Raw genomic sequence first — 25,582 nt, forward strand, 5'->3', positions numbered from 1 at the left:
CACACACACACACACACACACACAACCAGATGTCATTTATAATCCATGTAAAATATTTTTGGGGAAGTTTCTCTTTAATAAAGTTTGAAGAGACATATATTTTTTTTTTTTGAAGAGGCATATTTTTTCTAACTTTTTTTTTTTTTTTTGAGATGGAGTCTTGCTCTGTCACCCAGGCTGGAGTGCAGCGGTACGATCACGGCTCACTGCAACCTCCGCCTCCTGGGTTCAAGCGATTCTTCAGCTTCAGCCTCCTGAGTAGCTGGGATTACAGGCATGTGCCACCATGCCTGGCTAATTTTTTTTTTTTTGTATTTTTAGTAGAGATGGGGGTTTCACCATGTTTGTGAGGCTGGTCTCGAACTCCTGACCTCAAGTGATTCACCTACCTTGGCCTCCCAAAGTGCTGGGATTACAGGTGTGAGTCATCACACCCAGCCTATAACTTTTTTTTAATAGGTGATAGAATCCCGTGCTTGAAAAATAATCAAACAAAAAGAGAATGCATTGTAAGAAGCCTCACTGTACTCCTGTCCCCAGCTGCCCAGTTCTCCCCTCCTCCCCACAGGGAAACATCTTCATTAGTTTCATTAGGTTCTTATGAAACCTTCCAGAGTTTCTTTAAGCAAAATACAAGCAAGTAGGACTGTCATATCCTGCAGACCGCTACATACAAATACATAGAAAGTGTCCTCATTCTATCCTCCAGTGATATTCCATTTTTTGGCTGAACCACCTAAATGATGGATATTTAGGGGAAGCAAGTATTTTTTAAAAAAGGTAAAAATCAAAGGTTTTTATTTTTTATTTTTTTAAAGAAAAGTTGGTAGGCTGTGTTTATTCATTCAGAAGTCAGGCCGTGGCTGAACTGATAGCTCTTGGAGATGGCCATTGCTCATCTCTGAATGTCTGGTTTTCTCTTGTAAGAATTGTGTGTATGATCCAGACCTTCAGTGTGTGCACTATATATTGAGAATTCCAGAAGAGATGATATGGACAAGAAAAAAAGATGACTTTACTTTTTACAGTAAAAATAAAACTTAAATTGAAGAGTACAATTGTTTAAACAATTGGAACTTACTTAGCTACTGCTTGTTGAAACAAAATCCTTTTTTTAAAAGGTATCGAAGCAAATTAAAGCTGATCCGTGCTAAGGAAGAAGACAGTGGCCATTATACTATTGTAGCTCAAAATGAAGATGCTGTGAAGAGCTATACTTTTGAACTGTTAACTCAAGGTATGTAAAGGGAGTATAAAGATAATGCTAGCTCTGTAGATGAGTGTCTTCCAAGGAAAGCCTGGCACTTTTCTCCCCGGTCATGGAAGAAAAGCAGCACTTAGGGGAGAAGCAGTGTCTGCATATGTCACATATCGGGAATACCTCTGCTGGACTCATGAATTCAGGTATTTCTGGGAGGTTCTGGGTTACTCTAGAGTAGGCGAGGAATCCCTAGGCTCCACCAGCTAGCTTTATTTTTGTAGAGATGGAGTCTTGCCATGTTGCTCAGGCTGGTCTCCTGGGTTCAAGCTATCTTCCCACCTTGGCCTCTCAAAGTACTGGGATTACAGGTGTGAGCCACTGCACCTGGCCTCCACCAGCTTACTTAGCACCTGCTTCTCAATCTGAGAAGAGAGAAGCAGATGACCTTAGATTGTTCTGGAGAGTTTTGCTACAAGTTTTCCTTATAGACATTGTACAGTGGTCCTTACCAGAAGGGAGTGCCCAAGTCTGTTTACATTCAGGCTCAGCACCTATCCAGAGTCCCAGCCATGAGCCAGGTGCTGTCTGAGGTGCGCTCATGTGATCCTCACAGTAAAACCTGTGATACAAGCAACACCGTATATCTAATTTATTTGACCACAGATTTAGAAAAGAATCTTTAAAACCTAATAACATACCACAGATGCATTTTGGTAAATGCTGCTTTAGATTATACTTTAGCTGAATCCATTAGTTGAATCCTAAGCTATAATATAATTTTAAGAACCTCCTTGCCTTTCAAGCCAAATAACCAAGGGACTTTCTCTCTCTCTTTCCCTCCCTCCCTTCCTTCCTTCCTTCCTTCTTCTCTCCCTCCCTTGTTATCTCTTTTCCTTTCCTTTCTCTCCTTCCTTCCCTCTTCCCTTTTTCCTTTCTCTCCTTCCTTCCTTCCTTGCTTCCTTCTTCCCTCCCTCCTTTGTTCTCTCTTTTCCTTTCCTTTCTCTTTTTCTTTCCTTCCTTCCTTCCTCACTCACTCTTTTCTTTTCCTTTCTCTCCTTCCTTCCTTCCTTCCTCCCTCCCTCACTCTCTCTTTTCTTTGCCTTTCTCTCCTTCCTTCCTTCCTTTTCCTCCCTCCCTCCCTCCCTTGTTCTCCCTTTTCCTTCCTTCCTTCTTTCCTTTCTTCCTTCCTTCCCTCTTCCCTCACTCTCTCTTTTCCTTTCTCTCCTTCCTTCCTTCCTTCATTCTCCCCTCCCCTCCCCCCTCCCCTCCCCCTCCCCTCCCCCCTCCCCCCCTCCCCTCCCCTTCCCTTCCCTTCCCATTTTTCTTCTCACCATGTTGCCCAGGCTTGCCTCAAACTCCTGGGCTCAAGTGTTTCTCTTCCACCTCAGCCTCCCAAGTAGCTGGGGCTACATGTGTGAGGCATCACAACCATGGACTTTTCACTTTCTTCACTCCAGGTTAAAAACATCACAGGGATAAATCTCAAAACACCAAAACTGTGAAAATGCTGCTAACCATGTGGGTCTGTCTAAACTGGAGTGTTACTTGTACAACTGGTTTCAGCCCCTCCGGAGTGTTTTGAATGCCATGTAGATGAGTTGTGAACTCATATTCCACTTTGTAGTCTCATATGTTCTGGGACACGAGCTATTCCATTCTGACTTCTTTCTGCCTCTTGCAGTTCCTTCATCCATTCTGGACTTGGTCGATGATCACCATGGCTCAACTGGGGGACAGACGGTGAGGTGCACAGCTGAAGGCACGCCGCTTCCTGATATTGAGTGGATGATATGCAAAGATATTAAGAAGTATGGAAAACAGATGTGTCTTCTTCTTTCGTGGTCAGAATATTTCTCCCTTGACACAAATGATGTCAAATACATTTTACTTATTGACTATAAGATAGGGTTTTGGGTGTGATAGCTTCAGGGTGTGTATCTTTTGTCATGAATAGCTGTGAGAAGAAGGTCCAGGGCTCTCATTAGACCTTCAAAATGTCTCCAATCTAAAAACAAGAGTGAATTTTAAGAACCACTGTTCTAAGAAGATTTTTACTACCCTGGCTCACATATCTTATTTGGTGAACTTTGTTTGGTAGTCGGACTGCATGTAAACATAAATGTGACTGCTTAGTCCCTTATCTGCCCACCTGCTGTTTGGTGGGTTAATTCGCCATTCCCTCCTCCCTCCCCCGAGTCCTCAGCCTTCTTAAATGGGCACATGAGCAATGTGTTTACACTTCATCCATGGTAACTGGTTGTGTTCAGAAGCCTCAGTTGTTTCTTCCTCTAGACAGAGACTCCTCATCTTAACTTCTAGGGCTAAGAACAGACTTGGATGTTGACTGGGGTTTCTAGTAGATTCCAGTGTGGAGCAGGATTCTAGGTCTTATAACTCAATCTGAGGATCATCGCAACCCTAGTGACACCCTAGGGGCTCTTCCCAGTGTGAGTGTTGAGAAGGGAGGGCTCCAGGCCTTTTTGAAGGGGTGGGAGATTGAGATCATTAAATATGGTTGAAGTTGAACTGTTCAGTTTGCTCATAGGTTCAAGATTGGGGAATGGTAGTCATATTTTATTAAACTTGATTATCTCTGCCTGCTATGTAAACACTTAGCTTTCAGTTGTTCATGTGTGAGTTATTCCCTCTTCAGCACATGCAGACAAGTTTTAATGTTCATCTGCATGTAAAATAAATCAGTGTGTATTGCCCCGAAATGCAGACAAGGTCCCAACTCCTTGCCATCTTAGAGTGTTCCCGTGGCTCCACTCATTGCCATGACTCTCAGGAATTGGCCCTATACTTAGGCCCTTTTTCTCTCTAGATGTAATAATGAAACTTCCTGGACTATTTTGGCCAACAATGTCTCAAACATCATCACGGAGATCCACTCCCGAGACAGGAGTACCGTGGAGGGCCGTGTGACTTTCGCCAAAGTGGAGGAGACCATCGCCGTGCGATGCCTGGCTAAGAATCTCCTTGGAGCTGAGAACCGAGAGCTGAAGCTGGTGGCTCCCAGTGAGTTCCTCAACAGTCAGGACAACTCATCAGCTGAGCCGCATCTGCCCCAGGCGGAACTTTGAATCCCAGATAGGGGTTATATAGAAATGAAGGTCCCAAGGCAGAAATTCAGTTATGAATGCTCTTAAAGTCATGTGGGACTTTGTTTTATTTTGTTTTGTTTTTTGAGACAGAGTTTTGCTCTGTGGCCCAGGCTGGAGTGCAATGGCACAATATTGGCTCACTGCAACCTCTACCTAGGACGTTGTTTTAGATTCAGATCCAAAACTGCATTTTTGCAGAGGCCCCTCAACATTTTGCTTGTCTAATAATATAGCTACAGTCTCTACTTTGAATGTCTGTGTATGTGGATGGAGTGTGGGGAAGGATCTTCTGTCTCATTGCTCCTTAAAAGATAGATGAAGCCAAAAGCAATATAAGCAAAATGCAACTTACAAAATAAGCTTTATAATAAAGCATATGAAGTAGAGGTGTCTGCCCATATAGTAGCTGTCAATTGCATTTATCCTATTCAAATTCTGTCCACAAGGTTACTGTTGGAGCAACTTTGGAGAAAATACTGAGTTCTCCTGATTGAATTTTGTCCCCTTCTTGTATAAGGAAAGAGTTGATGTAGTTTCCTGGGTGTAGATGGTTTGAGAGATGGTACTGCCTATCCCTAAAATGAACCAGGCAGCCCTCACACTTCCCCACCAGCAGTGAGAGATTCCTGGCTCAGACACAGCCACACTACCTTGCTGCCCCTGTGCATGTCTGCCAGGAAACTTTTCATTGTGCCTCTCTCTCTTGTCACGTAGCCCTGCGTTCTGAACTCACGGTGGCTGCTGCAGTCCTGGTGCTGTTGGTGATTGTGATCATCTCACTTATTGTCCTGGTTGTCATTTGGAAACAGGTAGATATTTTCTCATAAAACTAAAGATCTTTGAAGCCAATGAGAACAAGCATAGCAACCTAGTTCAGTGCTTGGCACAGAGAAGGAGCTCAGCAATTACATGTGGAGTGAACGTTGTTGGACTCTACTGTGTCCAGTCACTGTGCTGCTTCAGTGAAGCTCTGGTGCACTGGGACTTTGGTAATTCACCAGTTACCTGTCCTGGTCATTTATAGAAACCGAGGTATGAAATTCGCTGGAGGGTCATTGAATCAATCAGCCCAGATGGACATGAATATATTTATGTGGACCCGATGCAGCTGCCTTATGACTCAAGATGGGAGTTTCCAAGAGATGGACTAGTGCTTGGTAAGTTCCATGGGGTAACCTCCCAAGACTCCCTTTTCCCTTGCACACAACTTTACAATTTATAGGCCTTGGCAGAATAGAGATCTGAGCTTGTGCTTAGTAAGAACTAGGCAATGGAAATTTGCTTTCAGAAATACATTTCTGTCTTGACAGTAAGTTAATTGGATCATTGCAATGATTTTTTTAAATCTCTTTCCATAACAAATTATAGTTAAGGAAAATTTTACAAAGGGAGAAGAGAATATGAAGAGGGCTGGCAAAGATACCCACCAAAATTGCTTTTCTTTAGAAATGACACAAATTGAAAATGAATTTCTGTGACTAAAAATGAGCAGATGAGAAATGAATGAGGACAACCACAAAATGTATTTTGATTCAGTACATTCTGAAGATGCATTAGATACTCCTTTTTACATATTTGGAATATGGAATATAAAAATATAGGTACATTTTGAGGCAAAATATGTAAAAATAAGCAAGCCAACTTATCACAAGCATTTCAAGTATTTCAATCCTGGGCTGAGACCAAGTATATGAAGCTTTAGTCCAAGGGAGTATTTCTTTTTTAAATCACATTCCTAATGAATGAAAGCAAGACAAAGGCAAATGAAAGTAGAGGTAGAGGTTGTGTTATGATGAATGATCTAACAGTATATATGTTAAAGAATGCCAAATGCAGGTTTTAATTATCCACCGGTCTCATTGCAAAATACAGAAGAGTTTAAGTCTTCTTAGAGAGTTAGGTAAACTGAAATCAAGCAAGGCACCAGAGTGAAATCACCTTTGCAAAAATTGTAACTGAGGAAATTATGACAGTGAATGAGATATGACCTAACCAACTCCATTTTGCTTTAGCCTCCAAGTTGTCCTTGTTCCTTCCTGGGCATAGGCCGAACTAACTTTGAGAGGAACTTAGTTTATAGTTTGACTTTGAAAAAAAGACAATAATAGCCCTTTGCCAAAACAAACCCTCTTTTTCCCTGGGAACTAGACTGCCTTTGCGGGACTAACGAATTAGCTACAAGATTAGAAAGTATGGTTTAGGGGTCACTGTTGTAAAACCTGAGGTCAGTGCTTGAGATATTTTGGAGACCCTGTATTTCGATGCACCAGCTGACACCACCCAGGTCAATAAACTGGCTCATCTGATCTTGGGGCCCCTACCTAGGAACTGACTCAGTGCAAGAGGACAGCATCAGCTCCCTATAATTTCATCTTTGACCCAACCAATCAGCACTCCCCTTTTCACCCCCTACCCACCAAATCATCCTTAAAAACCCCATTCCCCCAGTTTCAGAGACACTGATTTGAGTAATAGCAGAATAGTAGAAATTCCCCCAGTTTCAGAGACACTGATTCGAGTAATAGTAGTAATAGTAGAATAGGTCTCCCGTACAGCTGGCTCTGTGTGAATTAAACCCTTTTTCTATTGCAATTCCCCTGTCTTGGTAAATCGGCTCTGTCTAGGCAGCGGACAAGGAGAATCCATGGGGCGGTTATAAGAGCTGCCCCCCAATTTCAAATATTTATATCTAAGCTTTCTTTATTTTCCTGCCTATTTCCCAACAAGGGATGAGGAGCTTAGGGAGTTAAAAAGTAGTAAAATATGGGGAAAAGGGCATAATTCCCATTATACCAAGAGGCATTGCTGGTGAAGCAATACCTTTCCAGGTACGATTTTCAGTAACACAGACGTGCAGTAAGAGGCAGTGTTGGCTGTTAGTGTCTTTTATGAGCCAAGTCTTTTCCTGGCTTGGCTATCCGTGGTGAGACTGACACCCCGGGAAATGTTTCTCTCAGGGTGAGCTCTTTCAGGGTGGGACAACAGCTTCAGTGTCTTTACGTATGTCTCCTCCCAACATGAAGCTAATTGCTGTGCTCTCGGGCATGTTTAGCTCTTGGTAGAGTGGCTTTCCTAACAAATAGGGAGCAGTGAGCCCAGCCTGAAGTTTTTATTTAGTCACTCCTTAGAATCAGTGATATTTTGAATACTGAAGTATTTCCAGTGGCTAGTAATTTACTAAGACAAAAGATGCCCCTGTTTGCATATGGAAAACAGAAGGGGAGAGAGCCAGGAGGTGTGGGTGAGAGCCCCGAAGGCAAGAGGATCCCAGGGGCTGGCCCAGCACGGAGCTGGTAGACAGCGCGCTCACACCAGGGAGGGCTGCACCCTCCTTTCTCCCGTCTGTGTTTTCTTTCCCTTGCAAGTGTTATTCGACAAAAGCAATTATGCTAATTTCCTTCCCTGTGGGCTCAATTCCTTTTTTGACACGATGACTTGGAGGAGTCATTATGATTACTCCAAACAGGAAAGACACTCGCCCAGCTGTCCGCCCGCAGAGAGCTGGCTACGGTGCAGAAAGCTGAGGAGGCGTCTGGAGTTTTTGGGTGTTAATGATTCTGCCTGCCCACAGGTCGGGTCTTGGGGTCTGGAGCGTTTGGGAAGGTGGTTGAAGGAACAGCCTATGGATTAAGCCGGTCCCAACCTGTCATGAAAGTTGCAGTGAAGATGCTAAAACGTAAGTGCTCCTTCCTGGGGATTTTTTGAGCACGGGGATTTTTTGAGCATGGGGATATTAAGGGAATTTCTCAAAATCATGCAGCTAGTAAATAAGACATTTAGGACTAGGTCCTGATTATTTTGACTCCAGGTTTTATGTGTATTTAGATTAGGTTTATTTAGATTGCTCTTGCTGCCTGTATGTTGGAAAATTAAGAGCTTGTTATTTCCAGTGACTTCTTTTTACTAGAAAGACCAGGAATTAGTTATTAGCACTGAGGCCAAGTAGCTATCTGCTTCTTTTAGACTTCTGGTAAATAGAATGATATCCAATCACAGGATTAGTCATATTCTTGGTTTTTTTCTGAGAACAGGAAGTTGGTAGCTCAGCTGGACTGATATGTGATTTATTCTTTCAACAGCCACGGCCAGATCCAGTGAAAAACAAGCTCTCATGTCTGAACTGAAGATAATGACTCACCTGGGGCCACATTTGAACATTGTAAACTTGCTGGGAGCCTGCACCAAGTCAGGTGGGCTCACTGACCTGGAGTGAGGATTTTCACTGGACACATGTGGTTGTGAAAACTGTTCAATCAGGCTTAAATCCTCCACTCTCCATCCCCACACATGGCAGGGAATAGAAGTCCCTTGAATGGAGCTGACTGGTCCCTTGAATTGATGGAAGCTCATTGGTTTTTGAGCAAAATCTGTTGCCAGTCCAGTCATAGCCATTCATGGCTCTTTATTAAAAAAAAAAAAAAAAAAAAAAAAAAAAAACTTTTTTGGTATCTTATTTTTTTCTGTGCCATATGGTCTGCAGGACAATTCATGGCTTTTCTGTTCTTCATTTTCATACCCATCTCCTAACGGCTTTTGTCCCCATAGGCCCCATTTACATCATCACAGAGTATTGCTTCTATGGAGATTTGGTCAACTATTTGCATAAGAATAGGGATAGCTTCCTGAGCCACCACCCAGAGAAGCCAAAGAAAGAGCTGGATATCTTTGGATTGAACCCTGCTGATGAAAGCACACGGAGGTGGGTGCAAAGAGAGATGTTGCTGTCTATCATTATCTTACAGGCATCACAAATGGAAAGACCCATGTCCTGATAGATATCATGTCTGCAGATTCAGTGCCCAAGGTAGCAAGACTTAGAGTCAAACCACCCTGTCCAGTCTTTCCATGGTCATGCAGAGAGATGCATGATGTCTAAAGGTGTTTTGGACTGGGGTGTCACATGGGAAGGCCTTGCTGATAGGTTTGAATGAGAGTGAGTTAGAATGACTCTGGGAGCTCTTCTGCTATTTACATGTGATCCACTTAGACCTATAAAATGCAGCTCTGGCCAGGGATGCTTGAGTTCTGGAACCTTGCAAGAACTGTCTGTGGATCTCCAAGCTCGAGGTCCTTGCTGAACCTGGACCTATAAATGACGTCAATGATAGTGATCCCTACTGCAGAAATCTACAAGTGGCTATAAAGAACTCTGTAGGTAAGAAATTCTGTAAGATCAGAAAGTACAATGAATTCACTTCATAATAAATTACTTGGTGGACACCAAATGGGTGCTAAATTGATTGGGTAGAAGGAATTGTATGCCCAAGCCACATGGCCACACGGCTCAAGTTCCAACCAAGGCTTGTGAGTTGAAAAACTGAGAAAGAATAATGACAGACTTAACGTAGTGAATTCTTCAAACTTTAAGTGTAATGGACTTACAGGTCCATGGGAGCACAGCCCCACTGTCTTAGATGTGGCTCTTCAGGATGTGCGGGCTCCTGCTAAGGATGTGCAGGGAACTGGCTCTGAAAACAAGTGAACAGTAGTCATCATGGCAGCTGACATTTGTGGAGTCCTTTGTATGTGCCAGGTGCCATGACAAATATTCCGCTAGTCTTTCCCATCTTTGTCAGTGGGATCCATTCTACGTCTTCTGAAAAGTGCTTCCTTGACCCCCAGATCAAGTCATTTTCCTTACAAGCTATTGAAACCTTTCTTCCTTCACAACACAGCTGAGTTTGAGTTGATCTGTGTATTTATTTTGTTTTTTACATTTCTTTTTTTCCCTATTTAAAAAATTTTTTTATTTCCATAGGTTTTTGGGGAACAAGTGGTATTTGGTTACATGAGTAAATTCTTCAGTGGTGATTTGTGAGATTTTGGTGCACCCATCACTGGAGCAGTATACACTGAACCCAGTTTGTAGTCTTTTATCCCTCACCTGCCTCTCAATTTTTCCCCGAGTCCCCAAGTCCATTGTGTCATTCTTATGCCTTTGCATCCTCATAGCTTAGCTCTCACTTATGAGTGAGAACGTACGATGTTTGGTTTCCATTTCTGAGTTACTTCACTTAGAATAATAGTCTCTAATCCCATCCAGGTTGCTGCAAAAGCCATTAATTCATTCCTTTTTATAGCTGAGTTACATATATATATATATATATGCACACCTACACATACATATGTATAGATACACTGCAGTTTCTTTATCCACTCCTTGATTGATGGGCATTTGGGGTTGGTTCCACATTTTTTCAATATGTGAATTGTGCTGCTATAAACATGTGTGTGCAAGTATCTTTTTAGTATGACTTCCTTTCCTCTGGTAGATACCCAGTAGTGGAATTGCTGTGATGCATGTATTTGTGCGACTATTTGATTAATGCTCATTTCCTTGACTAGATCACCTCATGTGAAAGGTATGGATTGGTTTTGCTTTTACCCAGTTAGCTCCCATGCCTACCTCAGTACCTGGCACATAATCATCATCTACTGAAAGTGGAATGACCACTTCAGAAGGGCACCCTGGGTAAGATTTCTCTTTCTGTTTTTACAGCTATGTTATTTTATCTTTTGAAAACAATGGTGACTACATGGACATGAAGCAGGCTGATACTACACAGTATGTCCCCATGCTAGAAAGGAAAGAGGTTTCTAAATATTCCGACATCCAGAGATCACTCTATGATCGTCCAGCCTCATATAAGAAGAAATCTATGTTAGGTAAAAGTGTCTATACTCACTCTGGGTGTTGGGACTTTCCAGTGGTTTAATATGATACTTAAAGTATTTAGAGGGAAGTGTATAGGGATGGTAAGTGAACCTGGCAGCCCACGTGGTCTCTAAATGCAGGTCTGCACAACCAGTTCTGTGACATGTTTCCAGGTTTGTGGCCTGTAAATTGAAAAGAATAAAAGCTGACAATGTAACAAATTTTTTAAACTTTAAATTTAATAGTTTTAAAGAATTTTCTTGGTGTGTTCCTGCAGTAAACATTTTTTAAAAAAAATAATTATTTATTCTGATATAATGAACTTCCTTTTTTATTGCTGTCTTTTTCTTTTTTAATGAAAATATGGTGATTGATTTTTTTTAATGCCCTTACTTGGCAGAATTACAAGTTGGCTGTCTTATGTTGGTTCCTCACCTTGCTTTTTTTCCCTTAAGTTTTAGAAGTCTCTGATGTCTATGAGTTCAGTAACCCTTGCTTTTACTTTTCCTAACATTCAATTTGTGATAGGAACTCTAGAGTAGATAATTTGCAGTTATATTTTCTGGACCAGTGTTTCTGTTGAATGTATTTTGAAGGTGGGTCTATCTGTTTTTCAAGTACATGAATATGTGGCAGGGTTAAATTGATTTATAAACTCCAGGGAGTCCAGCTGATGCCCAGACCAGATGGATCACTTCACATCTGCTCAGGGTGGTTCCTCCAGAGCCCTGAACTGGTCACAGACATGAAGCTGGAAGTCTGACATTGGCTTGTCCTGTGAGCTTGCCTTTTTGGGTCTGAGCCTTCCCATTAGTCAATGCAAAAAAGTGTTGAGCTGCCCTGGACATTGTTTTGGAAATTATTGATGTGCTCTGAATGTTTTCAGGTTCTTAAGTGAAAGGTACAATCCATTTAAAAAAGAATGTGTTTGTTTTGCAAAGCTCAGTACACAATATTTTCCATTTCTGCGGTTCCAAGTTCCATTCACTTCTCATTGCCAAATGGGTGAACTTCCAAGCGCTTTTAAAAGATTAGCCAGTGAGAGTTATCGGAACCAGTACTTCCTCTCCCCTCCCATATTGTTAAAAATAGTTTACATTGCTTCCCAGGCTGGGCTGGTGGAGTTGGCACGAGATGTCAGAGGAACCTGAGTCATGCTCAGGCCCAAGCCCTGTTGGCAGGCAGACCACTGCTTTCTGGCCTTCCGTGACTATCTGAAAAAAATCGTGAATGGCTAGAGCTACTCTTCACTTGCTGAACATTTTCAAAAAGAATTGAGAACTTCTGGATTAAATTGCCTTCTTCCTCGAAAACCCTGGGACCCTTCCAGATGGGACTAACTGGGGAAAGTGGACAAGTTACAAACAAAGAAACTCAAAGGAAAGTCATTGGCACTGATCTCTAAGATGCTATCACATGTGATTGGTGGTTGATTTTATTAACAAATTATAAGCAAAGTACTACAAAGGTGGCTTTAAAAAGAAAATAAAGCAATTCACAGAAACTACTTTTTCATGTAGCTTGTATGTGTGCTCCATGTATTTCATCATGGAAGATTTTAGTGTGTGTTTATGTGTATGTGTGTTTTAAAGGTAGCTGAGATGATTTGCTAATTATGGTTGAAAAAAAGAAATTTAGGAGGTAAACAAAATAATTATGTGTAAGATTGGTCCTTGTGGCTGTGTGTGTGTTTTGTGTGTGCGTGTATGTCTCTGTGTGTTTTAGGCTGTTCTTTTATTGCTATAAATAAATACTTGAGACTGGGTAATTTATAAGGGAAAGAGGTTTAATTAGTTCATGATTCTGCAGGCTTTACAGGAATCAAGATACTGGTAGATCTGCTCAGTTTTTGGAGAGGCCTCATGAAGCCATGAAGTCATGGCAGAAGGCAAAGCAGTGCAGGCACATCACATGGCCAGAGCAAGAGCAAGCGAGAGAGAGAAAGAGAGAGGTGCCACACACTTCTAAACAGTCAGATCTTACAAGAAGTCACTTACTATTGCGAGGACAGCACCAGAAGGATGGTGCTAAATTGTTCGTAAGAAATCTGTCCCCATGATCCATTCATCTGCCACCAGTCCCCACCTCCAATACTGGAGATTACAATTCAACATGAGATTTGGGTGGGGACACATATTCAAACTATATCATACTGACCCTGGACCCTCCCAAATCTCATGTCCTTCTCACATTTCAAAATACAATCATCCCTCCACAATAGTCCCCTCAAGCCTTAACTCATTCCAGCATCAACTCAAAGTCCAAAGTCTTATCTGACACAAGGCAGGTCCCTTCCACCTATGAGCCTGTAAAATAAAGAACAAGTTATTTACTTTCAAGATACAATGGGGTTATAGGCATTGGGTCAACATTCCCATTCCCAAAGGGAGAAATCGGCCAAAAGAAAGGGGCTACAAGCCCCACAGAAGTTCAGAACCCAGCAGGGCTGAAAACTCCAAATAAACTCCATTGACTCCATATCCCATGTCCAGAGCACACTGATGCAAGGGGTGGAGCTCTTGGGAGGGATGGAACACCCTGTGGCTTTGCAGGGTTTAGCCCCTGCAGCTGCTCTCAGGGGCTGTTGTCGAGTGCCTGTGGTTTTTCCTGGTGCAGAGTGCAGGCTGTTGGTGGATATATTATTCATGGAGGATGGTGGCCCTCCCCTCGTAGCTTCACGAGGCAGTGCCCCAGTGGAGACTCTGTGTGGGGACTTCAACCCCACATTTCCCCTCTGCAGTGCCCTAGTAGAGGTTCTCTGTGAGGGCTCCAATCCTGCAGCATGCTTCTGTCTGGACACCCTGGTTTTTTAATATATCCTCCGAAATCTAGGCAGAGGCTCCCAAGCCTCAACTCTTAACACTCTGTGCACCCACAGGCTAACACCACATGGAAGCGGCCAAGGTTTATGGCTGTCACAAGCTGAAGCAGCAGCCCAAGCTGCACCTGAACTCCTTTGAGCCACAGCTGGAGCTGGAGTCATAGGGATGCAGGGAGCAGTGTCTCGAGGCTGCACAGGGCAGTGGACCCTGGGGCTGGCCCATGAGACCATTCTTCCCTCCTAGGCCTCTGGGCCTGTGATGGGAGGGGCTGCCATGAAGGTGTCTGAAATGCCTTAAAGGCCTTTTTCCCATTGTTTTGGCAATCAGCCTTTGCCTCCTTTTTAGTTATGCAAATTTCTCTAGCAAGTGGTTGCCCAGCAGCCCTCTTTAATTCTCTCCCAAAAAAGCTTTTACTTTCTCTGTCACATGGCCAAGCTACAAATTTTCCAACCTTTTATGCTCTGCTTCCCTTTTACTTTTTTTTTATTTTAAAGAGATGGGGTCTCACTATGTTGTCCAGGCTAGTTTGAACTCTTGGACTCAAGCAATCCTCTCACTCATCCTCCCAAAGTGTTGGGATTATAGGTGTGAGCCACTGCGCCCAGCCTCTGCTTCTCTTTTAAATATAAGTTTCAACTTCAAGTCATTTCTTTGCTTCTGCATCTGACTGTAGGCTATTGGAAGCAGCCAGGCCATATCGTGAACACTTTGCTGCTTAGAAATTTCTTCCACCAGATATCCTAGGTCATCACTCTCAAGTTCAAACTTCCACATATTCCTAGGGCATGGACATAATGTGGCCAAGTTCTTTGCTGAAGCTTAACAAGGGTGACCTTTACTCCAGTTCCCAATAAGTTCTTCATTTTCATCCGAGACCTTGGCAGCCTGGATTTCATTGTCCATATCATTATCAGCATTTTGGTCACAAGCATTTAACCAGTCTCTAAGAAGTTCCAAACTTTCCTTCATCTTCCTGTCTTCTTCTGAGCCCTCCAAACTCTTCTTATCTCTGCCTGTTACCCAGTTATCTTTACAGCAATTCCCCATTCCTTGATACCAATTTTCTCTATTAGGCTGTTTTTGCATTGCTATAAAGAAATACCTGAGACTGAGTAATTTATAAAGAAAAGAGGTTTCATTGGCACATGGATTCTGCAGGCTATACAGGCATTTGCTTCTGGAGAGGCCTCAGGAAGCTTCCAATCATGGTGGAAGGTAAAGGGGGAGCAGGCATATCACATGGCCAGAGCAGGAGCAAGTGAGAGAGAGACAGAGAGAGAGAGAGAGAGAGAGAGAGAGAGAGAGGTGCCATACAGTTTTAAACAGGCAGATCTTGTAAGAAGTCACTCACTTTTGCAAGGATAGCACCAAGGGGATGGTGCTAAACCATTTGTGAGAAATTCACCCCCATGATCCAGTCACCTCCCACCAGGCCCCACCTCCAATACTGGGGATTACACTTCAACATGAGATTTGGGTGGGGACACATATCCAAACTATATCATTGCGTGTGTGTGTGTGTGTATAATTTTTAAACCAGATATATGTTTCTGCATATCTCTTTCCTTTCTTTCATTCTTTCTATCTTTTTTTTTTTTTTTTTTTTTTGAGACAGAGTCTCACTCTGTCACCCAGGCTGCAGTGCAGTGGTGTGATCTTGGCTCACTGCAACTCATTGCAACCTCCTCCTCCCTGATTCAAGCAATTCCCCTGCCTCAGCCTCCTGAGTAGCTGGGATTACAGGCACATGCCACCATGCCTGGCTAATTTTTTTGTATTATTAGTAGAGATAGGGTTTTACCATGTTGGCCAGACTGGTCTCAAACTTCTGACCTCAGGCAATCCACCCACCTCGGCCTCCCAAAGTGCTGGGATTATAGGCATAAGCCACCATGCCTGGCCTATATATCTATTTTCTAAGATAGAATCTTTGCATAGTGATATTCATCTGTGAGATCTAAACATTCTACAAAAAAATTAAGAAAATATTTTTGGATGTGTTCTTTGGGCATGCCTCTGCAACCTGATGATTTCCTGCTGCCTGCCAGCACCAATACATTTAATTTCTTTTCTGCAGACTCAGAAGTCAAAAACCTCCTTTCAGATGATAACTCAGAAGGCCTTACTTTATTGGATTTGTTGAGCTTCACCTATCAAGTTGCCCGAGGAATGGAGTTTTTGGCTTCAAAAAATGTAAGTTCAAGGAACACAGACCTTTTTAGACCCAGATTTCAGTGAGTGGAGTGTGGACGGAGATGCTAGGAGATAGATGTTGGAAAGGCCATTAATAACAGGGGCCTCTTACTTACCTGTCTCTCTCCTTCATCCCCTACGCAGGTCAGGGAGTCTGAAATCATCAGGCATCTACTCTTCTCTAGAGCTTTCTCTCTGTTGGGAGTGGGTGGAGTGAGAACCTGGGAGAAGGCCAGCCCTTTATATCCAGGCAGACAGCTCCAAGTGCCACCATGGATCAGCCAGTCTTGCAGGGGTGATGCTATTCAGCTACAGATGGCTTGATCCTGAGTCATTTCTTCCTTTTCCATGCAGTGTGTCCACCGTGATCTGGCTGCTCGCAACGTCCTCCTGGCACAAGGAAAAATTGTGAAGATCTGTGACTTTGGCCTGGCCAGAGACATCATGCATGATTCGAACTATGTGTCGAAAGGCAGTGTACGTCCTCACTTCCCTCACTGGTCAGGCTCATCCTCCTTCACTTTAATCTCTAAAGTCAGGTGTTGCTTCTAGAGATTCGGTGCCTGTTTTTTAAAACATCAATAGATTTCAAGGGGTCAGTACACTGCCTTGGCAGCAGATTGCCCAGGTTTGAGTGCCAGCTCCACCACTTACTTAATTTGGATTTGGGGCTAGATACTTGACTGTTCTGCCCCTCTGTCTCCCTGATTGTAGTGGGAGGTGATAATAGTACCTATTTGCTGAGTTGCTATGGGGATTAAATCAATGAATTCATGTAAAGTGCTTAGGACAGTGCCTGGCATATAGAAACAGCACTCAATAATGTTAGCTATTTTATTTATTTATTTATTTATTTATTTATTTATTTATTTATTTTCTTTTTTTTTGAGACAGAGTCTCACTCTGTCACCCAGGCTGGAGTGCAGTGGCGCAATCTTGGCTCACTGCAAACTTCTGCCTCCCAGGTTGAAGCAATTCTCCTGCCTTAGCCTCCCGAGTAGGTGGGATTACAGGCATGCACCACCATGTTCAGCTAATTTTTGTATTTTTAGTAGAGACAGGGTTTCACCATGTTGCCCAGACTGGTCTCGAACTCCTGGCCTCAAGTGATCTACCTGCCTCAGCCTCCCAAAGTGCTGGGATGACAGGTGTGAGCCACTGCATCTGGCAAGTGTTAGCTATTAATATGTCAATTGCGTGTATGCATGGACAAGCATGCATTCCCAAGGATGGTGTCTTTACATTTTAAGCTTTTATCAGATTTTCAAAAGCCATCTGTGACCCCTAAAATAGATTGGAACCATTTGGGTTTATGTATCTTGGAGGCACAGTTTCCTTAAAGATACTCATTTTGTTGTCTACTTGAACCATTCTTCCCATCCCTTCCACTTCTCAGCAGATGACATAGCTCCCTGTGGGGATATATCTGCTCCCTGTAGGTACAATTCCAAATCACCTCACTGCACTGGATGTGAGACAGCTTATGGCAGCTGCTGCTTCCACCTAGAGAAAGACATGGGCCTGCATCCATGCTGTGTGTGATTCATGTACTCATGTGGCCGTGATAGCTGTAATCGGCTCATAGATCATTGGATCTGTTCTTAGTTTTGTTCCCAGGAATATCTAAAAATAGGAAACTGGTCCATTCAGGGCTTACACCTTTTGGGTGAAAATTCAGGATTAATGTTTTTGGATATTATTCCTTTGGAGGACATAAAAGGCAATATTGACCATTCATCATTCATCTAGTATTTATTGAGCACCTACTATGTGCCAGGGACTGAGAGTTCAGTAATGAACAAAACACATGTAAAAGACACTCAAATGGGACAAGATAATTAGCACAAGTTATTAAGAGCCCAAGGGGAACCCTTTTCTATTTCCACTGCTGTGGATCATCAGTGAGTAGACATGGGTTTAACTGTCTCCCTCCTTCCTTGCAGACCTTTCTGCCCGTGAAGTGGATGGCTCCTGAGAGCATCTTTGACAACCTCTACACCACACTGAGTGATGTCTGGTCTTATGGCATTCTGCTCTGGGAGATCTTTTCCCTTGGTATGGGCCTGACATTGCTGCTTATTTGGGCTGTTCTGAAACACCACTGGAAGGAAAATGTGTTCTTTCAAGCCCCAGGATGTAGACAGTGTTAAGATAACCTGGTGTGAGGCCAGTATGCTGCAGCCACCTCAAACCACATGTTGTGCCTTATTGTGTCTGAGATAGGCCCATGCAGGTGGAGATGGGGGTTTTTGTTGGGGGTTGCGTCTTACTCCTGGCCTCTGCCCCTCCTCTCCTTTGGGCTATGCCAGAGTGACTTCCTCCCACTGGAAGTGGTCCCAATGACATTCGCATCCCAGCTGCTTTTTCATTTTGGGCTTTGGGTCACATGGGTTCACCCATGGAGAGTGGGCCCTCCCTCACCTGGTGGCGATTGATGCTCAGGTGAAAAGGGGTACGTGGCGGGAAGGGCAGGGCTCTCATTCCTGGTTGTCATTGGCCAGTCTTGACAACCCAGGTGCTGAACAACCCAGGTGCCCTGGGCTATCCGGTGAGGTCCCTAAGAGAAGGATGAGCCATAACCCTGACATCTGGATGGTTCATCTGGGGAGATGAGACTTACACACTTAGGGATAAACAGTGTGCTGCTGATTTAAAATTGTAATTTGAGTCTTGAGTAAAGAGAAAGGAGTCCTGGAATAGTGTGGGAAGGCTTCAGAGAGGGAACTTAACTTGACCTGGCCTTGGCTTTGAAAGTGTGAAATGTTTCATGAATTTATCTGTGATCAGGATGTAATAGTAAAGTGTGTCTTCCTGCCCCGTCTCCTTTTTCATCCTAGTTCTCCCTCCATGGATGATCACAATGGATCATCCCCCAGTGGCTTAATGGAGTCCTGTACTCCCTTAAAAGCAGAGAGGCCACAACTTTGATTTTTGCTTTAGCTATTTGAACATACCTGGTGAAAAAGACTCTCTGGGTTTTAATGATTCAGAATTTCTCCTTGCTTTTCTAGTTCATTTTGTCTGTGTTGATCCAGTAGTCATACACATTGAAAAACACTTGAACGCTTATTTCTAAAGATGTAGAATTTTTGTGATGGTACTTGGACTTGACCAACCTGGAGTCCTAATTAAACTTAAGGTTTGAGCTGGTCTCTGAAGTCAAGGAGATGATGACACTGAATTTTCTTGAAAAAACCAGTGCTTCAAGGCTATAGGATCTGAAAGGTTTTCTAACAGTGTTCTATCATGCCAAGTGTTTCAGCAATGCACTGAGCGTTTGTTAGTCCTGGTGTTTTATTGTTTGGCTTTTAGGTGGCACCCCTTACCCCGGCATGATGGTGGATTCTACTTTCTACAATAAGATCAAGAGTGGGTACCGGATGGCCAAGCCTGACCACGCTACCAGTGAAGTGTGAGCTCCTTCCCCATCCCGGGGGCCTGTGTTCACAGTCTGTGGGTCTAGGGGGAGGGAGGGGCCCTGAGACTTCCCCCTGTGCCCACTCTTGAGTTCTGTCCCCACAGCTACGAGATCATGGTGAAATGCTGGAACAGTGAGCCGGAGAAGAGACCCTCCTTTTACCACCTGAGTGAGATTGTGGAGAATCTGCTGCCTGGACAATATAAAAAGGTGTGTTTGGATCTGTGGGTGGAAAGGTCTGGATAAAGCTGGAAGTTATACCAGTGAGCTGTGCTGTTCCGCAGTTCTAGAGGAGCATTTTCAAAAGAGGCAAAAGACTGTGTGATCCAGTGGCTGGGCTTCATGGCGGTGCTCCACGAGACCCTAGTAGCAATGATGAATGAAAACCCTCCCCTTCCCGTGGGGCTTTCCTTTCATCTTATATGTACAGTACCTGTAAGCACTATTCTCCAGATGTTTGAGTATCAGAAGTTAGTGTGCAGTTAGAAGACTCAGGGCATCCATGGCCATTACATCACTAATTTGAGTGCACTTAAATCCATGCGAAATTGGCTTTTACCAGCGGACTGGAAGGAACAACCTCAGCTGTTATCTGTGGCACCAGCTGGTTTTTTGTGGAATGGGAAGCATTGTTCAAAGGAACAAATGTAATTTCTTGGAACCAGGCAGGATATGTAAATGAATGAAACAACTTTCTGCTGAGGTGTTGAGAGGAAAACTCAGACATAACCTCAGTTTCTTAGATTGAGATTAGTCCCTGTGTAGACTTTTTATACTTATCATTTTTCTTCCTTCTTCTCAAGGAGGAATAGTGTTAGGAGATTGTGTGCCGAACTGGAAGTTAAATGCTTCTGTCTGTTAATTATCTCACTGCCCACTACAACTTTCACAGGTGAGGCAGTGAGGAGGCAGAAGGAAATTAACCCTCAGTTGGTCAAAGATGCTCTGACTGGTGGAAATGTGTTGGTGGGAAGAGATTGAAGTTATTGTTGAAAATAGGGTCTTTTCACATCCAATGTTAGACCTCTCCAATGTTTAAGGATCATGAAGGCTTTGGGTATTATCCACCCAATAGAAGGCCTCACTGCCTCTCTATGGGACCCATCCAAGCCCTGGAAAGGCAACGTGATGGGGACCAGAAGGATTCTCAGTTGTAGCTACTGACTTGGAGAAGGGGCTACTGGTATCTTAGCACCTAATGGCAGAAGCTCTTTACCATTGGTGGCCCCTTCTTCATGTTCTATGTCTCTGGGGATAGTTGACATGACTCTCCTTCAACTAAGTCCCACATCTTCCAGGTAGTTTGGAGATATGTACAGTTAAATAATAGTAAGTTCTGAGTGTCTCTATTCATTTTTGAGGTTTGGTTGTTAACACTTGATTAAATATGTTCAATGAATGTTTATAGAGTTATGAAAAAATTCACCTGGACTTCCTGAAGAGTGACCATCCTGCTGTGGCACGCATGCGTGTGGACTCAGACAATGCATACATTGGTGTCACCTACAAAAACGAGGAAGACAAGCTGAAGGACTGGGAGGGTGGTCTGGATGAGCAGAGACTGAGCGCTGACAGTGGCTACATCATTCCTCTGCCTGACATTGACCCTGTCCCTGAGGAGGAGGACCTGGGCAAGAGGAACAGACACAGGTAGCTGTGGGGGCAGCCTCGGTGTCTCACCTTTCCCCTCCCCTATAGGCCCTGAAGGAGAGGACCCATTTTCCCGATAATGGTGCACTCCCGGTTGGTAAATATGTACTCAGGGACAAGTTGCAGAATCCTCAGGAGGTCCACGTGGTTTTGAAAATGCTTCCCAGATGATTCTAATATGTTCCCCCTGGGGCTGGGAGAGGGATGTGCATGTTGTGGGGAGAGGGACATGCTTCCCTGGTGGAGAATCTTTGAGCTAAATTCTCAGGTAATTTGATCAAATTGATACAGAACTGTGATTACTGAGATCATATAAGCCTCTCCTGCCATTGTCTTAAATAGTCATTGAACTGGGGAAAAAGTGAAGAGAGGCGGGACTGGGTCCTTTGACGCTATACCCTACCTGTGAATTGGAATCACCTGCAGAGATTTAAAAACTGCTGATCTACAAGCCTCACCCAAAACAACAAATTAGAATCCCTGGGGGTGGTGGCCAACTGCTCCCTGGCTGATTTGTTTCTTCTTTCTTTTAAATTTTGTATTATGGAAGATTTCTAACGTGTGCACAATTCACATAGTATAGTGAGCTGTTCAGTATTCGTCACCCAGCTTCAATGACTATGCCCTCTGCCAGCCTGGATGCACACATGGCCATGTCTGTCTCTCCTCAGCCTCCTCTGGATTGTTTGGAAGCAAATCCTAGACACCTTATCATTTCACCCATAAATATTCCAGTGTGTGTCTCTTAAAGATAAGGGCTCTATTTTAAAGAAGAACAACAGTTATTAAAAATAACTACAATGCCGTTATCTCACCCAAAACAGGGACAATAAATCGTTAAGGCATCAGGCAGCCAGTTAAAGTTCAAATTATCTCACAAATATTATCATACTCCATTAAAAAGTGGGCAGAGGACATAAGCAGACACTTTTCAAAAGAAGACATACCTGCAGCCAACAAGCATATGAAAAAATGCTCAACATCACTGATCACTAGAGAAATGCAAATCAGAACCGTGATGAGATACCATCTCACACCAGACAGAATGGTTATTATTAAAAAGTCAAAAAATAACAGATGCTGGTGAGGTTGTGGAGAAAAGGGGAAGCGTATACACTGCTTGTTGAAGTGCAAATTAGTTCAGCTATTGTGGAAAGCAGTGTGGTGATTTCTCAAAGAACTTTTAACAGAATTACCATTGGATCCAGCAATCCCATTACTGGGTATATAACCAAAGGAATATAAATCATTCTACCATAAAGACATGCATACGTATGTTCACTGCAGCACTATTCACGATAGCAAAGACATGGAATCATCCTAAATGCCCATTGACAGTAGACTGGATAAAGAACATCTGGCACATATACACCATGGAATACTATGTGTTGATAAAAAAGAACAAGATCTGAGATACCATCTCCCACCAGTCAGAATGGCTATTATTTAAAAGTCAAAAAGCAACAGATTGTGGCGAGGTTGTGGAGAAAAAGAAACACTTTTACAATGTTGGTTGGAGTGTAAATTAGTTCAACCATTGTGGAAGACAGTGTGGCGATTCCCCAAAGACCTAGAGGCAGAAATACTGTTTGACCCATCAATCCCATTACTGAGTATATACCCAGAGTGATGTAAATCATTCTATTATAAAGGCACATGAATGTGTATGTTCACTGCTGCACTGTTCACAATAGCAAAATCATGGAATCAACCTAAATGCCCATCAATGATAGACTGGATAAAGAAAATGTGATACATATACACCATGGAATACGATGCAGCCGTAAAAAGGAATGAGATCATGTCCTTTGCAGGGACATGGATGGAGCTGGAAGCCGTTACCGTCAGCAAACTAACACAGGAACAGAAAACCAAACACCACATGTTCTCACTTATAAGTGGGAGCTGAACGATGAGGACACATGGACACATGGAGGGAAACAACACACACTGGAGCCTTTCAGGGGTTGGGGATTGGGTGGAACATCAGGAAGAATAGCTAATGGATACTGGGCATAATACCTGGGTGATGGGATGATCTGTGCGGCAAACCACCATGACGCATGTTTACCCATGTAACAAACCTGCACATCCTGCATATGTACCCCTGAACTTAAAAAGTGGAAAATACAAAAATGAAATTAAAAAAAGAACAAGATCATGTCCTTTGCAGCAACGTGGATGGAGCCGGAGGTCACTATCCTTAGCAAACTAATACGGGAACAGAAGACCAGATACCGCATGTTCTCACTTATAAGTGGGAGCTAAAACTACGAGAACACATGGACACAAAGAGGGGAACAACAGACACCAGGGCATAGTTGAGGGTGCAGGGTGGGAGAAGGAAGAGGATCAGAAAAAATACCTATCGGATACTGTGCTTATTATTTGGGTGATGAAATAATCTGTACATCAAACCGCCATGACATGTGATTTATCCATGTAACCTGCACACGTGCCCTTGAACATAAAATAAAAGTTAAAAAAAAATTATCATACACTTGTTTTGTTCTGTCTGAGATCCAGATAAGAGTCACACATTGCACTTGGTTGCTATGTCTCTGTAAGTTCACTATGTCTCTATTTTTTGCCCTCTTACATATTATTTGTGAAGAAACCATAGTGTTTGCCTGTGGAGTTCCCACAATCGGCATTTTGCTGATTACATCCTTGAAGTGTCCTTCTCAGGTGCTTCTGTCTTCTCTATGTGTTGTAAACTGGTAGTTAGTCTAGGAACTTAACCTGACTCAGGTTAGATCTTTGGCAAACATGCTTCATAGATGGTTCTGTGTGCTTCTGTCAAGAGGTATGCACTGTCCAGTTGTCTGCCTTTTGTAACATTATCAGTCATTGGGTGATCATTACCTAGAATTTCTTTTTTTTTTTTTTTTTTTGAGATGGAGTCTCGCTCTGTCACCCAGGCTGGAGTGCAGTGGTGTGATCTCAGCTTACTGTAACCTCCACCTCCTGAGTTCAAGCCATTCTCATACCTCCGCCTCCTGAGTAGCTGGGATTACAGGCACATGCCACCATGCCCAGCTAATTTTTGTATTTTTAGTAGAAATGGGGTTTCAGCATGTTGGCCAGGCTGGTTTTGAACTCCTGACCTCAAGTGATCTGCCGGTCTCGGCCTCCCAAGATGCTGGGATTATAGGCATGAACCACCTCACCCGGCCTAGATTCTTTAACTCAGCACCAAGGTGGAGCTAATGCCCAGGCAGGACTGAGAATCACTGGCTGACGTGGTCAGATGGAGGAGACCATGCCCCAGTTCTCCGCTGTCTTTGCATGGCCCTTGGACAGAGGTAGGAGAAGGTGATGATAGTGGCCCCTAGTTCAAGGTCCAAGTTGCTTGTGTGTGTGTGTGTGTGTGTGTGTGTGTGTGTGTTTTCCTCTTCTTTCCCATCAGAACATTATTTTGGAGGCTTATGACTGTGACCTTTGTTAACCAATTTAGGTATAATATGTAGACAGCCCTTGTTTATTTGTATGGACTGGGTAATTTTGAAAGTATGGCTTTTCTATTTTGTTTTAGAATATGTTATGTGATTTGAAGATGGGACACAGTGGCCCATCAGTCTTCGGTTTTTTATTATGCTTTGCTCAGGCCAGTTTTTATAACGTGTTTATATCTCTTGAGCATACGGTGTTCCTCCAAGTTTTGGGGGTCTGCGATGGAACTTCACGGGGGTCGGGGAAGGCTGGGCAGTGAATCTAGGGCTCTCTGTCTCAGATCCTTTCTCAATTTGGTTACTTTGTGTTTGTGGGCTCTGAATAATATTTGAGTTGTAAGAGGGTTCTGCTTTTATATAAAGTTAGAAAGTCACATTGGAATAAATAACATGAGAAAGGTGCCCAGAAGTTTTCTAGGGCTACAACAGGCTGAGCTGCAGAATTTGACACGCCAGGAATTGAACTTTCTCAGTTGAAGTTCACGTTCAAGTTAAGTAACTTGTGTGGCATCACACAGCTAGTAAGTGGGGGGACCATTCCAGACCTAAGGCTTTCTGACTCCAGAACTCCCCTTTCAGCCACTTCTCTAGTACGTAAGGAGCCGTCACCTGGGCCCTCAAGTTGGGGGTTGGTGGGGGGGCATTTGATGTCAAGAGAGAGGGGAAGAGGGCATTCCAGGCAAGTGGCAGGAGATCCTGAGAACACAGTTTGGATGCTCAGGAGGCTTCCGGGAGAGCACCTGATGGGCCTGGCTGCAGCTTGCACCCTGATGGGCCTGACTTCACCCCCTGCTCTGCCTTCCCAGGCCTTTGGATCAGGCATTGCTTATGTTCTCTTCCACTAGGATTGAGTAGGGAAAGTAGAAATTCTTGCAGCTTGTCAGTAACTTTGATGAAAGACCCAGCAGAAAAGCAGGAAAGCTGAAGAGTAAAAATGATGGGTGGACCTTGGTTTTCCACGTGGCCTACCACAGCATGTCAGGCCTGGGGGCAGAATCTTGCCATACTGTGCAGCCCAAATTTGAATGCCAAAGGCTTTCGTTTGTCTCTGGGGGGCCACAGTCTAGGTCTAGTTCTGTGCAGGAGT

General features: G+C 43.4%; 1 protein-coding gene across 10 annotated transcripts in view, besides 3 other annotated features; it reads left to right on the plus strand.

The window, feature by feature from the left end:
* PDGFRA (platelet derived growth factor receptor alpha) overlaps window positions 1–25,582 on the plus strand; it is a 68,953-nt gene that overhangs the window by 40,219 nt on the left and 3,152 nt on the right. For 7 of the 10 annotated variants that reach the window (NM_001347828.2, NM_006206.6, XM_005265743.2 and 4 more), the window contains 15 exons: window positions 1,122–1,237; window positions 2,883–3,009; window positions 4,026–4,219; window positions 5,020–5,114; window positions 5,330–5,462; window positions 7,877–7,981; window positions 8,385–8,495; window positions 8,851–9,004; window positions 10,805–10,971; window positions 15,860–15,975; window positions 16,330–16,452; window positions 17,919–18,030; window positions 19,288–19,387; window positions 19,498–19,603; window positions 20,802–21,043. In NM_001347828.2, coding sequence (NP_001334757.1) covers window positions 1,122–1,237; window positions 2,883–3,009; window positions 4,026–4,219; window positions 5,020–5,114; window positions 5,330–5,462; window positions 7,877–7,981; window positions 8,385–8,495; window positions 8,851–9,004; window positions 10,805–10,971; window positions 15,860–15,975; window positions 16,330–16,452; window positions 17,919–18,030; window positions 19,288–19,387; window positions 19,498–19,603; window positions 20,802–21,043 — 2,001 coding nt within the window. Of the gene's footprint in view, window positions 1–1,121; window positions 1,238–2,882; window positions 3,010–4,025; window positions 4,220–5,019; window positions 5,115–5,329; window positions 5,463–7,876; window positions 7,982–8,384; window positions 8,496–8,850; window positions 9,005–10,804; window positions 10,972–12,069; window positions 12,468–15,859; window positions 15,976–16,329; window positions 16,453–17,918; window positions 18,031–19,287; window positions 19,388–19,497; window positions 19,604–20,801; window positions 21,044–25,582 lie in introns of those variants that run through there. The other 3 variants (XM_006714041.4, NM_001347827.2, XM_017008281.2) reach the window with 1 other exon arrangement.
* Window positions 8,645–9,168: an enhancer, noted in NCBI's record as "OCT4-NANOG hESC enhancer chr4:55144323-55144846 (GRCh37/hg19 assembly coordinates)". NCBI's record gives its function as "activates a minimal SCP1, AML or CMV promoter by ChIP-STARR-seq in primed H9 embryonic stem cells {active_cell/tissue: H9 hESC(primed)}" and the evidence as "EXISTENCE:reporter gene assay evidence [ECO:0000049][PMID:30033119]".
* Window positions 11,582–12,781: an enhancer, noted in NCBI's record as "BRD4-independent group 4 enhancer chr4:55147260-55148459 (GRCh37/hg19 assembly coordinates)". NCBI's record gives its function as "activates an origin of replication core promoter dependent on BRD2, P300/CBP, MED14 and CDK7 cofactors, and independent of BRD4, by STARR-seq in HCT116 cells {active_cell/tissue: HCT116}" and the evidence as "EXISTENCE:reporter gene assay evidence [ECO:0000049][PMID:35650434]".
* Window positions 25,381–25,573: a silencer, noted in NCBI's record as "fragment chr4:55161059-55161251 (GRCh37/hg19 assembly coordinates)". NCBI's record gives its function as "represses an EF-1alpha promoter that drives an FKBP-Casp9 reporter gene in an ReSE screen in K562 erythroleukemia cells {active_cell/tissue: K562}" and the evidence as "EXISTENCE:reporter gene assay evidence [ECO:0000049][PMID:32094911]".

This window comes from Homo sapiens, chromosome 4, assembly GCF_000001405.40.
Source record: "Homo sapiens chromosome 4, GRCh38.p14 Primary Assembly".
NCBI classification, from domain to species: domain Eukaryota; kingdom Metazoa; phylum Chordata; class Mammalia; order Primates; family Hominidae; genus Homo; species Homo sapiens.